General features: G+C 39.8%; 1 protein-coding gene across 4 annotated transcripts in view; it reads left to right on the plus strand.

The window, feature by feature from the left end:
* Positions 1-13973, plus strand: part of BMPER (BMP binding endothelial regulator) — a 251513-nt gene that overhangs the window by 53237 nt on the left and 184303 nt on the right. For 3 of the 4 annotated variants that reach the window (NM_133468.5, NM_001365308.1, NM_001410872.1), the window contains 2 exons: positions 8328-8410; positions 12178-12268. In NM_133468.5, coding sequence (NP_597725.1) covers positions 8328-8410; positions 12178-12268 — 174 coding nt within the window. Of the gene's footprint in view, positions 1-8327; positions 8411-12177; positions 12269-13973 lie in introns of those variants that run through there. The other variant, XM_047419939.1, reaches the window with a different exon arrangement.

Here is a 13973-nt window from a genome sequence, read left to right on the forward strand (position 1 = left end):
GAAATGCATTAAGGGAGAAAAATCCTTGCTGCAACTTTTTATACGTCACCCACCTTTCTTGCATTTGCTCTCTTCTTAGCATAAACACTTCTAAATATGGGAGTGCCTATTGCTCAGGGCTGAATCCCATTGCAAAACATGTTCTTATTATGAAAAATGTATGAATTCACCCTTAGATGTTTGAAGTTGATGCTTTGAGCCCTCATTATTTGTTGCTTCCTAATGTTGAAAGGCCCAAGGCTTAGCATAGTTGGTAGCCAAATGTAAACACATTTAGAACAGAGTTCAAACATAAATCCTCAACATCAGCTCTTACCACTCCAGCCACAAAATCTGCATGTAACCTTAAATACTGGCTTTGTACCACCGCTGGAACATCCTTTTAAAGTATCATTGAAAGGCAGCATGCCATCTTCCCCAGAGACAACATTTTTACTACTGAAGCTATCACTTTCTGAGCTCCTTCTTTGTGTCTAGCACAACTCAAATAGTGAATGGAACATGGCTTTTAGAGTAAGGCAGAAGAGTGGCCGTTTGTTCCCAAAGTAATTGCGCTTTTTTGAAGCTTGGTTCCCTCATTTCTAAATACTGGGGGTAAAATGTTATCTGTTGTGGAGTTAGATGTGCTACCTTTGGGTTATGAGGTCCTTGTTATGTGTTCTATAGTGCTAATATGGTTTGGCTCTGTGTCGCCACCCAAATCTCACTTTGAATTGTGATAATCCCCATGTGTCAAGGGTGGGGCCAGGTGGAGATAATTGAATGGTGGGGGCAGTTTCCCTCATACTGTTCTCTCATGGTAGTGAATAAGTCTCACAAGATACGCTGGTTTTATAAAGAGGAGTTCCCCTGGACACGCTCTCTCTCCTGCCGCCATGTGAGAAGTCCTTTTGCTCTTCCTTCATCTTCCACCATAGTTGTGAGGCCTCCCCAGCCCTGTGGAACTGTGAGTCCATTAAACTTCTTTTCATTACACATTACCCAGTCTCGTGTATGTCTTTATTAGCAGTGTGAGAACAGATTAATACAAGTGCTTTTATGAGAATAAAATTAAGTCCTATGTGAAAACTCTAAGTTCAATGCCTCACCTATAATAATTATGCAATTATTTAAATTTTCTTTCCTTTTTTCCCCTTTTTCCTGTTGGAAGATTATTTGTATAATATTTTTCAAATTGTTTTTGGTACCTCATCTTTGGAGGTGGCTTTTAGTGACATTTTCCTGCCTTATAATCTCACAGGACTGTCTCTCCTGGTGTAATATTATTTTCCTTCTTTCTCCATTTTTGTTCAGCATGAGCTCAACTTAGTTCTTCCTTCTTTGCCTGTTGAGAGGCAATGAGAGCTGACTGCTTGACAGTGGGGTGCTGAAGATAGGATGGTTTTTGCAGTGGGATTCAGCCCTGAGCAATAGGCACTCCCATATTTAGAAGTGTTTATGCTAAGTAGAGAGCAAATGCAAGAATGGTGGGTGATGTATAAAAAGTTGCGGCAAGGATTTTTCTCCCTTAATGCATTGCATATTCCCTTTATTGTATTAATTACATTAAAAATTCAAAAGCATATTTTATTGACTAGAATCCCAATTTATTTGTGGTTCATAGAATGTATTGTATTACCTTATGGTCAATGGCAGATACTGTATCTATTATGATACTATAAAGTTATGCGACTGAGCCACAATTTCATCACTTTACAGTCTCCAACAAACACAAACATTAGAAATCCAAGCAAGTCATGTGGAAGCTTTTTTTTCTTCCTTTATACTGGTGAAGTCAGTTGAATTTGCAAGTGATTCACTGTACTCATCTGAAATTTCTGCATATTTGGGGTTTATTCATTAAATCATCAAAAATTAAGTGAAATAGCTTTCTATCATTTTTTCTATTGTCAATTATTTCATTTCAATCACATATTGAATTCCTAATTGGAAGCGAAGCTAAAAAAGCAATGAAAAAAATTTTGTGGTGAGGGAGCACACGCTACTATTTAAGAACTCAGTTCATGGGCCTGATTCTTTCTCTTGGGACTGAGGAAATGGTTTGGCTATAAAATTCCCATTAGCCAAAAATAAGCACAATTGCCTCCAGGATTCATGGTAGGTACAGCCTTGAAGAGTAATAAAAGCCTGTTTTAAATGAAGTCTTAAGGATACTGTTTAAGCCCTAGAATGGATAGTCAGATTTTATGTTTATCCCTTTTGATTATACTTCCATATGTTTCTGGAGAACAGTGTCTGAAAAGTGGTTCATTAAAAAAATTGTATTGGGCTGGGGTAATTTGGGGCTTATTGACCAAGTCCAGGGGAGCAGGGGTGCCCTATCAGGTGGCCTGGAAGCAGCAAAGCATGGCAGACCTGTCTGCTCTGTTTCCTTGTGCCATGTGGCATGAAATGACTTCAAAGACTCCCAGTTTGGTTTAATTTAAATAAATATGACTGTTTGTGTGCTTATTAAAAAAGCAGTTGAGAATAAACCAGTAGTTAGGGAACCAAAATAGATTTTGAAAGGAAAAGGCACTCTACTGAAAGTTCACTTATCTGAATAGCTCCAAGAAAGCTTTCCTGTTTCTGGAAGAGGAGTTGAATGGGACCACATACCTAAGAGAAAACAGGAGATCCAGTGAATGTCACCCTTTCTATATTCTATTTTTGTAGTTTGTAGGAATAGCTGTATGTTGGTGCCTAGTATTTTTTACCAATGAAATTAAGCATTTATCAAGTGCTTCCCACAAACAAAGGGACTTGGAATTCACATTGTGCATGGAGAAAGAACACAGGAGCATACTCTGAGTGGGGAAGTTTCATAGAAGGCTTCCTAGAGACTATGATTTTAAGCTGAGTCTTGAAAAAGGATGAGTGAGGCAAGGAAGGAAAGTTTGGGTGACCTAGGTTTCCTTGTGGGGTAATGGAGAAGGAGAACATGGATGAGATTCAGGCTTTTCAATAAGGGACCAGCATGTGCAAAATCGCAGGTTGAGATCTTCTGGCCATGTTTTGGAGAATTCTAAGTACAGCTTCTCTGCAATGGAGGGAGTACAAGTTTGGGAACAGCAGAATAGAGGATGAAGAGGTGAGTTGAGGCCAGGCCCGGGATATCTTTGATGTTTACAGTAAAGGTTTATGGTTTTCAATCCTGGCTACATGTTAGATTCCTCTTCCACTTCCTACTTTTGGAAACTCTGATCCAATTTGTCTAGAATAAAAGGGCTAGGGGTGGGTGCCTGGTCTGTACCTCAGCCAGTCTATGCACCATTGGTCATTGTGAATGACATGAGCAGGCCAGAAAGAGCACACAGTGACAGCTGTGTAGGAAGATGGCTTAAGAAAGGTCCCTACCACAGCCAGGAGAAACAGTCAGTGAGCCTGTTGCAATAGTCCAGGCAGGCGAGAAATAACCAGCAGCTTAGCTGAGGCTGGAGTAGAGAGGTTGGAGAGGTAACTGGGAGAAAGCATCTAGAAGGTGTGGGAGGGCACTGAAGAAGGAAAGCCCGGTCAGCCCTCCACAAAGAGGCTCCAGACAATAACGACTGAGTGTCTTTTGCTTGGGCCCTTAGAAGGCAGCTGTAGCGCAAGAGAGTAAAGTTTTAGTGGAGGGATGGTGGGGTCAGAAGCCAGATTGCCTTAGTTGAGGAACTTGAACATGCATTCAGAAGCTTGTGAGTTCATTGTGAAGGTAACCCCAGGCAATGACATGGAGTTCTAGGGATGAAGGGAAAGAACTGGAAAGGTAGGTTGGGGGCATGTTGTGAAGGCTTTGGGTACCAGGGGTAAGTTATTCATAATGGTAAGATCCAGTTCTTTGCCATTTGACTGATGTTAATGTGAAAAATGAGAGGATTAAGACTAAATAGGAGAAACTAGGCACAGCCAAGGCTCATTAGAAGGCCAATGCCATTTTTTATGGTCCTGATGATTTTTAACAGCTATTTTAACAACAGAATGATGAAAATGTGTGGTATTCTTTCTCCCTTGGGATAATGTGGCCACTGAAAAAGGTCAGAACTAATAGGAAAAATGAGTTTTATTGCTTAACTGTGGATTCAATTAATTTGTGCTCTTCCTGTTTTCATTGCCCCGTGTTCTCAGTTGGCTAAGCCAAGCTTCTCTACAAGAATATGAATGTTAGGACAAATACTCTGGAGTTCTTTTCCACCCTGAAAATAATTAACATAAAAAAAGCCAAAATATATACAAAAGAAAAGTGTAGCTGGTTTAGGCTCATTGTTGTATTATTTTAGATGTAAGGAAGAACCATATTGAGCTTTGTCTGATGGTTTACATCAGGGTTTTCAGCCTTGGCGCAATGAAAATGTTGAGCTGGTTAATTCTTGGTGTGCATTGTAGGATGTTTAGCATCATCCCTGGCCTCTACCCATTAGATGCCTATAGTGCTCCATATCTTCCAGCTGTGATAACCCAAGATGTCTCCTAATGTTGCCCAGAGTCCCCTGGGTAGGGCTTAGGGTGAAAGGCAAAATCACCCTCACTTGAGAACTGCTGGTTTAAAGATATCGTAGTGATTTTATCAGAACATTACCACACCTCCCGCTGCAGTACTGATGGTTTTATTGAAGCTTATAAAATCTCAAATGCTTTTTGTCACTAGAAGAAAACTAATGAATGTTTATAAATCCCTTGTAGGGAGTTTCTTTTAAATATTTAAAGAAAAAAAAAAGCTGCTTTACTGGTTGCTGCATATTTACCTGACCAGTCATCTAATTATTCCAGTCACTTACTCTTTTATTTAATTACTAGATCTGCTATGATTTAATTTTATATGGACAAATGCTGGTTTTATTCCTGGGCCATGAAGTCCTCAAAGCAAAGGATATTATGCTGAATTAGAAAATGCTAAAATAATACTAGCAATTTAGACCTGGATGTAAAAATGTAATTTTCACATGGCACCTGGATTCTAGTGTTAGTTTCATATCTAATTTCTTCTAATTTGGAGTAAGCCCTTTAGCCTTTTTGTGCAAATTTTCTCATCTGTAAAAAGAAGGAGATAACTATAATATCTGTAAGTTTGCTTCTATTCTAAACGTCAACACTTGAATATATTTATATTATTTCATTGAGTTGTTCCTCCTGCTCCCATAATATACCTCTCAATGCAATTAAACCCAGAATGTGTCCCAGAATGTGGTCCATGGTGCTGGTCTACAATAAGTTGAGTACAAAAATGGACAGTAAACAGAAATGTTTAATATAATTTGGTAGTGTATTCTGTGCCTATTACATGTAATAATAAAAGTTGGGCTTATATTTTGTCTCTTTGAAATTCAATTTTTTCTAGTAAGTCACTTTTATTATATTTTATAAAAGTATCAGTCCACAGTGGATTAAAAAACAAAAACAAAGGCTGGGCGCGGTGGCTCATGCCTGTAATCCCAGCACTTTGGGAAGCAGAGGCAGGCGGATCACTTGAGGTCAGGAGTTCGAGACCAGCCTGGCCAACATGGTGAAACCCTGTCTCTACTAAAAATACAAAAATTAGCCGGGCGTGGTGGCAGGTGCCTGTAATCCCACCTACTCAGGGGGCTGAGTAGGAGAATCACTTGAACCTGGGAGGCGGAGGTTGCAGTAAGCCAAGATCGCGCCATTGCACTCTAGCCTGGGAGACAAGAGCAAAACTCCGTCTCAAAACAAAAAACAAACAAACAAAAATGAAAACAAAACTGGTCTCTCACTACAGGGAGTTTGGGAAGCAATGCCTGGATGTATGATGGAAAATTTTGTGTGCATCTCTTTCTACCATGGCCAATAAGAGATAGTATATTCCATCTCTCTGGAATTTAAATAAAAATAGGGCAAGATATTGTCTGTTTACCCTATTAGCAGCATAAAGTTGGTGGCAAATAGAATTAATTGTAAAGAAATTTATCTAACAGAAAATAAGTCATTTATTTTTGGAGTACATATAAGGTTTTCTTTGATTGTATCTATATCTGAGTCTTCATTTAGCTCGTTAGTTTCATGAATTAAAATAACATGTGTATCTTAGAACGTAAACCCAAAGAGTGATGAGAATGTCCTTTCTTTAATTATCTTTTTTTCTGAGAGTCCTTACATATGAAATCCATTCTAGTGCTTGATATACTGAAGTCTCCATAAGTAGTTGATGGTAGTGAGGGTAGGTGAAGAATGAAAAGGTGTGGATTACATATACTAAAGAGATTTTCACAGATGTTTTGGAGTCTATTTAGTCAGTCAGATTCATCCATCATTTGAGAAGGTTTGTTATATGGACTCAGATGTGATAGAATGACACGTAAACAAGGGTGGTTAAGCAATGGGGCACTTCACAATGTGACCTTCGTCCAATTTTCCAGTATTATTGTCCAATCTTTCTTTATGTGGTAAATTATGGTGGAGGAACAAGGCTTCCCACTGACAGTTATTTGAAGCAGAAAACACTGTTGGGTTCCTTGCACTGTGGACCATTTATTCCAATACCTTTTATCCCATAAAGAGTGGAATAATCCAGACAGCCTGGTGCTCCTCCTGGGAGCCCTTTGCACATGACCTGGCATTGCTTGGGAACAGCCTGTTAACCCTGGCTCACATGGATTTTGTAGCACACTTCCTCCTCTAAAACAAAAAAGGCAGGATCTTTGCTTGCACTATTAGCAGCAAAAAATCACCCTTTCTTTCAGTTTTTTAATTCAGATAATGAAAATATATAACATATTCGGAAACTCCACTGGCAGACTTGGCAGGCGTTTCATATTTACTTGGACTTAACATGAATTGGATTTGGTTCTCTGATTTCCCTGCCTCCATCTCTCGGAACAAGTTATTTATTATCTGAATGAGTCTGTGTTAGTGGATCAGACATGCACATGGCACGTCTCTTGTAAGCGCGTTTGTTCAGTAAGATTTATGCTAGCCCAAATTGTTTTATATTGGTTTTCATTGTTGAAAATTTACTGTATTCATTCTCGATTTGGCATAAGTATTTGTAGTGTGCTAGGGGTTCCTGTGGTTGAACATTTTATCTCTGTAACACTTCATGCAAAGGAAATTAAAAAATATATAGTGAAAGCATTTCCCTAATGTGTTTCCAATCAACTGTGTACTTTAGTAATTTGATTTGTAGGAACTAGAGAGCAGAGTATTACTGAGCCCTTTTCAATCATTCATAATTCTTTGGGAATTCAGATCATAGTTCCAAGTTTATGAAAACATCTATTGAATTTTTTCTAAGTCCTTTGTTATTCTGCTTGAATGTATTAACAGGGATTTTTTTTTTTAACCACAGCATTATCTAAAAGTTCTCATGGAAGGAGTGAGTCTCTCTTCTGTCTTGGACAAGAAAAACTTGATGTGAATTGAGGTTGATTAGCTTGCCAGAAATCAGTCATTGAAACAGAGAGCCAGACCCTTTTATTTCTGCATTATCACATGTGTGTGTTCCTGCTTCTGTACTTTTTGTATTAAGCAATCCAGACTATGTATTGGTAAATCTCTTTGCCTAGTGGGCTTCTAAGGATACAGTGACTATAGGCATCGCCAAGTGTGTCTTCCTAGATCGTGTAACCCACAGTGTGGAGGGTTATTTGTAGAAACTGACTCAAGACCTAGGCTGTGATTTCCACACTATTGTTTCTTTGGCCTTTTCCCACAGAGACTCAAGCTAACTGGCTTATTTCTTCTTTTGAAGATCTCTGGCCTTTGACTTCTGTTTTTGCCAATGAATAACATGTGATAATCCATACTTTAGATGGGTAGTTTCAGATTCGCTTAGTCTAATTTACTACCTAAAAGTAATATAAAAAGTAAGTATGAAATTATAGCTCTTAGAATTGGAGGTAAGGGTTGGAAGGTTTTATCTAGGGAAGACAGTAGCTCATCAACAATCTTAGATGAGTATAGAATTTTGCGTTCAAGTCCTATATTTTAATTTTCTGCTTTTATTTTCTATCATGTTTTAAGCTTCACTTTTGATCTTGAATTAATTTAATCTCATGTAAGATCCCTTTTAATAGTGGTGTTTTTAGCTCTGTTACTCCTCATACATCATTAGGCATAAATCAAGTCACGAGGTTATACATTTTGGCCATGAGAGTTCATCAATCTATGGCTTTGCACTTGATAATATAATTCAGGAGGTTAATCTTCTCAGTAGTCAATGAATTAATGTAAGTGAATGTCAAGTGGATACTTAGAAGGCTTAGTTGTGTTTTGGGGAAAAATAGCCAAAGAGCATGGTGGTTCCTTTGATCGCTAATCTGGGCTTAGAGAACATAACTTATTTTGCTCCAAAAGGTAAAGGAAACCCATACCCATTCTTGGCCTTTCTTCCTGCTTCTGTGTCTCCTGTCTAGGTTGCACCTATGAAGGAAATACCTATAACAGCTCCTTCAAATGGCAGAGCCCGGCTGAGCCTTGTGTTCTACGCCAGTGCCAGGTAAAGTTCAATTATTTCTCTCTCCAGTAAAAAGGAATCCATAGAGTCCTCTTTAGTCACCCCTTCACACAACATAGAACAAAACCCTAAAAAGGCCAAACAGAAATGAAAAAAACAATGAAAAAGCAACTGTATCCTTGTGTGTACTTACTGTGTCACCATAACGAGACAGGTGCAGCATAGATATTGTGTAGAACTTGCTTCCAGAAACACACAGTGGAATTGTCCACCATTGTTAAATTGTGCCTGGGAAAACTCCAGGAAGATGCACATGTCCTTGGGGAAAATTCATGTCTTCCTGTGAAGTCATCTTTGAGCAAAACATGAATTCCTCTTAGCAGAAAGCGGGTATTGTTAAAGGATGTATGTTTCACTTCTTTGATTTAGAAAGATTTTGAACTGGATCCAATCTGTAAACTATTACATTGAAGCAATTAGTATACTGTAACTCGATGATTTCAACCTGACAAATTAAAAAACCACCAATTCAGCAACTAGGGAGTCCACTGTGGTTGATCCTATTGAACTCTGAAAAGAGCAGTGATTCCACATGGCTCTAACCCCATCAGGTGTTAAACACAGCAAGATAAACTAAAGCAGAAATGAAAAGCCTAAATTTTCAAACTCCTCCTTTAAAAAAACAAGCAAACAAAAACTTTTTATAAATAATCTGCCACAAATTATGCTCATCTAATTTTGACAAAACTTAAAATTTCTTCTTCGTAGAAAAGGTGCTGTTAAATCATTTTATCCCTAACCCTATTTCGTTGTCCAAGGATATGCTTTTGCATTTAAAGGAAATTGAAAGGTTAGTATAATAATGGATATTTCTCTTTGCTCTTATCTTAAGCATAGTGACATTTAGTTTACTGAAATCTAAATTTTAGGTAGTTATATTCCTATTATATGCCATGATAGGTATGCTCATTCATAAGACCTTCAGCTATTTATTCAGTTAAATATTCAGCTTATTTATATAGGAAATCTGTTGCTTGTTAAAATAAGCAGTAGGTAAACACATATAAATAATACATTATTAAATCAACAAATATTTGCTGGATTTTTATTCCAGGTTGTTGCAGGTTCAATCAGTGTCATACTGCAAAGGGATGAGAGCAATAAGTTTCCATAACATCAAAATCCCACATTTGTTTCAAAATTTATACCACTTCACCCATGCCCTGCCTCTTGACCAGCAAAATTTCCACTCTTTGGTAGAGCACTCAGAAAACCAAAGCCATGGTTACAATGCTAAACAAGACAATCACATATCCTCTGGAGTCTAGCATAGTATTCCTATGTAACAGTCAGAGGTTTTGAAGTTCCTTAAGTTGCATGGACCAGTCATGGGTGAATTTTGCTGCCTTTGGATGAAGACTTTGTTTAAATTAAGTAGAAGCTATTATATGGGAGGGACTATTTTGTTGACTGAATAACACATTAAGCCATTATCCATTGTTAACCCTGAACCTCCAATTGCCTAGCGTCTCTGGTCAGTAGGGCCCAGAAAGAGTGATGCAGGAATCTCTAATTACTGTTGAAAGAGATCTTAAAGTCCAGCAGCCTTGGGAGTCAGGAGATGCTGACCTGTAAAATGGGGAAGAGAAAGTTGATGTTACCTACCCAAGAGGAAGTTTGCCTTTCAGTTTTTCCTCCTTTCTAAAACCTTGCCTGTGCCCTGCTAGCTAGGATAATATTTTATTCAATACGCAGAAAAGCAACCTGCGGTGAAGGGACCTACCAAAGGCTGCTCCTTTGCTCAGCTGGGACCTTCCCTTTCCTGACTTGCTTCCTTCTTTAGGTATGAGACCTCATCTTGGAATGCAGGAAATTACCATTTATTGGCACCTGTCAGGGAAGTCTTCTTGCTTCTCTGCAGAATGGCACAATGGCAACCTCTCTTTGCATGCTCTTCTTTTCTCAGGGCACAAAATCAGTAGCAGAGGATACAGCGTAGGGCAGTAGGTGAAATATGGATTCTGCCACTCACATAACTTGCTACTTAACCTCGCTGTACCTCACTTTAACTACCTATAAAACAGAAATAGTACTCTCTTCAGGGAGAGTTGTAAGCAGAAAGCCAAACTGTTAAAAATGCTTCTGGTAGAGCGCCTGCATGGACTGGGTACAACAAGGTCTCAGACAGATGACAGGAAGTCTAATGATCTGGCCTAGTTCCATTTGAATTGAATTCTACCTGTTTCTTATATCTTCCTACCAAGGGAGCTCTGATGGTGAGAAATTTACCTTTATTTTCCTGCTTTTAATTTCTTATGGGAAGAGGAAAATTTGAAGATCATGGACAGGAAATTCATGCTGGGAACTAACCTGAATCCTCCATCTGGATTGCAGATACCAAAGAAAAATTGGTTTGGGGCCATGCATAGCTTTTTGCATTGCTTCAGTTATGTAACTAAAGCATGGATCTTTTTGTGATGTTATATATTGCTAGTACTTTAGTTGTTTTATTCTTTCCCATGTGATTTAAGCCATAACCAATTCTCCAGTGAGTGGAAACCTCAGGCCTGACATGATATGAAAACATTAAGGATGTAGCCCTCCTTGTTGGGTTGAGATGATGTGGTAGCAGACACGATGAAGAAAATGACCTAGTTGTTAATTTGTTATATTTGTTTTCATCCTGTGCCACCCATCCCATCACAGACAGCAACAAAAACCAAACCAAAAATGAAACACAAATCCATTTACAAAATGGGTGGAGAATCTGGAGAAAGCCCTTCAAAGGCCAACTGTGAAAATTAATTCTAAAAATATTTCAATTGACATTAAGGTGATTAGAGTCCCAATATCAATTTGCAAATGACTCACTTAATTTATTTATTTATTTATTTTTTTGAGATGGAGTCTCGCTCTGTCGTCCAGGCTGGAGTGCAGTGGCGCAATCTCTGCTCACTGCAAGCTCCGCCTCCTGGGTTCACACCATTCTCCTGCCTCAGCCTCCTGAGTAGCTGGGACTACAGGCGCCTGCCACCACGCCCGGCTAATTTTTTGTATTTTTCGTAGAGACGGGGTTTCACTGTGTTAGCCAGGATGGTCTCGATCTCCTGACTTCGTGATCCGCCCGCCTCAGCCTCCCAAAGTGCTGGGATTATAGGCGTGAGCCACTGCGTCCGGCCACTTGATTTTATTATTAAGCCCTAAAGTCCCTATTTTGACATATATAATATGAACTTAAAAATAGTTTTGTCTAATCCCTTCCTTTGATGCTTGAGGAAGACTGAGACCCAGGCTCTGTGTGAGGCAGAGTGACATTTCTAAGATTGCAGAGCTGGCCTAGTTATTTCTAGAAGGTTGGTAAGGATTTAGGATCTCCAGGTGCTAGTCTGGGTTAAGATGCTTATATGCTGTGCCTCACCATTAATGGCTTGACATGAATAACAATGATAGAAAGTACAGGAAGTGTGGAAAACCTAAAACAATTGTGAATGAGCAGCTAGATTCTGTTGGGTACTTACTGACAGCAAGAAGGTCTTAAAAACTAGATTTAAAAGGAAGCAAGAAATTAGGGCCAAAGAGAAAGCAAAGACGGGGGAAAATAAGAGGTGACAGATTTGCACTGAGTTCTACAGCATTGATTGGGGTGAGCCTGGATCTCACCTCGTTGGTGTCTCATACCTCTCGCCCTGACACCCACCAAACCTTGTGGTTTTTGTGCTTGAGCACTTCTCCTACTTAGGTCACTTTCCAAAAGTAGTAACTCCGTGGGAATTCTGGGCTGACTTTGCTTGTTTTGTTCTGTGTTTCAGGAGGGCGTTGTCACAGAGTCTGGGGTGCGCTGTGTTGTTCATTGTAAAAACCCTTTGGAGCATCTGGGAATGTGCTGCCCCACATGTCCAGGTAACGTTCTCAGGAAGGGGAGGCTGGAAATCTCTGTGTGTTCTTTCAGGAATGCATGAATCTCCCAACCCCTCTTGTTGGAAATTTTCCTCACTTTACATCTGTGTACCTAATGGGTTTAGAGAGCGAGCTCCTTTGCATAGAAATATCCGCTTGGCTGCCTCGGTGTGCCCAGCATGAATGCAATGTGCTGGAGGTCCTGGCATGGGGGTTCTCCAGGCTCCGAGGCCTGCTTTCCACTCCACAGGGCCACAGGTAATGCTTATTTTGGAAGAAAAGGCTGTGGCTTTCTCTGGCTTCCAGAGATGTCTTTTTACTGCTTCATATTGCAAAATCCTGGCCAGAGCTCGCCATGGTGATGAGGTGACCAGATGTTTTCTGAAAACTGAGAGCTGTGTCCCTAAGTGAATTTAGCTTAGGGTTTTGCTGGTCTCAGTTTTCCATGTGGTTCAACAAGGTGGACCCTCTTGTCTTTTTTAGAGGGCCCTGCTTCCTAGCTGACAGCAAAAGGATCTTTCCTTTGCAGCGGCTGGAACGTTTCCTTTTACTTTTCTGAACAGGATTACAAAGGCCTCCTGCATCTTTTCCTGCCCTTACATACAAGCCTGGGGCTTTTGAGGTGAGAGATTTTTTTCTGATCTCTTAAGCCACTGGCCAATAATCTCTGACAGGTGTTCTGCATTTTGTTTTTTTTGTTTTTTTGTTTTTTTTTTTCTGAGTGCTTTTCCTCAAGAGTGGTGATACGACTACTGCTCTGCTTTTGAGGTTAATCTCCAAAGGGCCTTCTGTTCTTGGAAACTTCCTGTGAAGTGGCTAAGTCACCACTGGACGCTCTGCAGAGATGAGCTCCTGCTCCATTCTCAGGCACCTGTCACTTTCCTCCATGCAGTCTCAAAGGCATGGTCCCTTTCAGAGTTCAGCCTTTTCTCACCCTTGAATGACAAGGATAGCCAGCTTCCACTTACGTCTAACCCTCCTCAGCAACCTGGGCTGTCTTTATTCAGCCTCTTTTTCACACTGGGATTTCTGTAAAGCTTGTATTGTTCATGAGCTTACATGAAAGCCAAACACTGGTTGAAAGTAAAATTATTTTTTCCATTATCCAGTTGTTCTGTGTCTATCAAGCAGAGATTGCTTGAGTGCTTTTCTCTCTGAATGCTGTGAAAGGTTTGTATTGCCTAACCGTATCCTTAGATGCCTACAGTATCTTTATTCAATGAGATCAGTAGTTGTCCAGGCTGCACACCAGAGTCACCTGAAAAATCCTTAAAAAAATCAATCTTGATGATCAAGCTGCATCCCAGACCAATTCCATCAGAATCTCTGAGGAACACTCGGGTCTCAGATCTCCCAGATAATTTCTGTACACAGCCAACCCTGACATTGATAACAGAGCATATTTTATACACCATATAGATTTAAAAATATCATAGCTCTTAAATATGAGTTCAGTTGTGTTGAGTAGACTGTTGCTTTGTTATTTATTTTATTTTTATTTTTTGAGATGGAGTCTCACTCTGTCGCCCCGGCTGAAGTACAGTGGTGTGATCTCGGCTCACTGCAACCTCTGCCTCCCTGGTTCACACCAGTCTCCTGCCTCAGCCTCCCGAGTAGCTGGGACTACAGGCACCCGCCACCATGCCTGGCTAATTTTTTTGTATTTTTAGTAGAGACGGGGTTTCACCATGTTAGTCAGGATGGTCTT

This window comes from Homo sapiens, chromosome 7 (genome assembly GCF_000001405.40).
Source record: "Homo sapiens chromosome 7, GRCh38.p14 Primary Assembly".
In the NCBI taxonomy this organism is placed as follows: domain Eukaryota; kingdom Metazoa; phylum Chordata; class Mammalia; order Primates; family Hominidae; genus Homo; species Homo sapiens.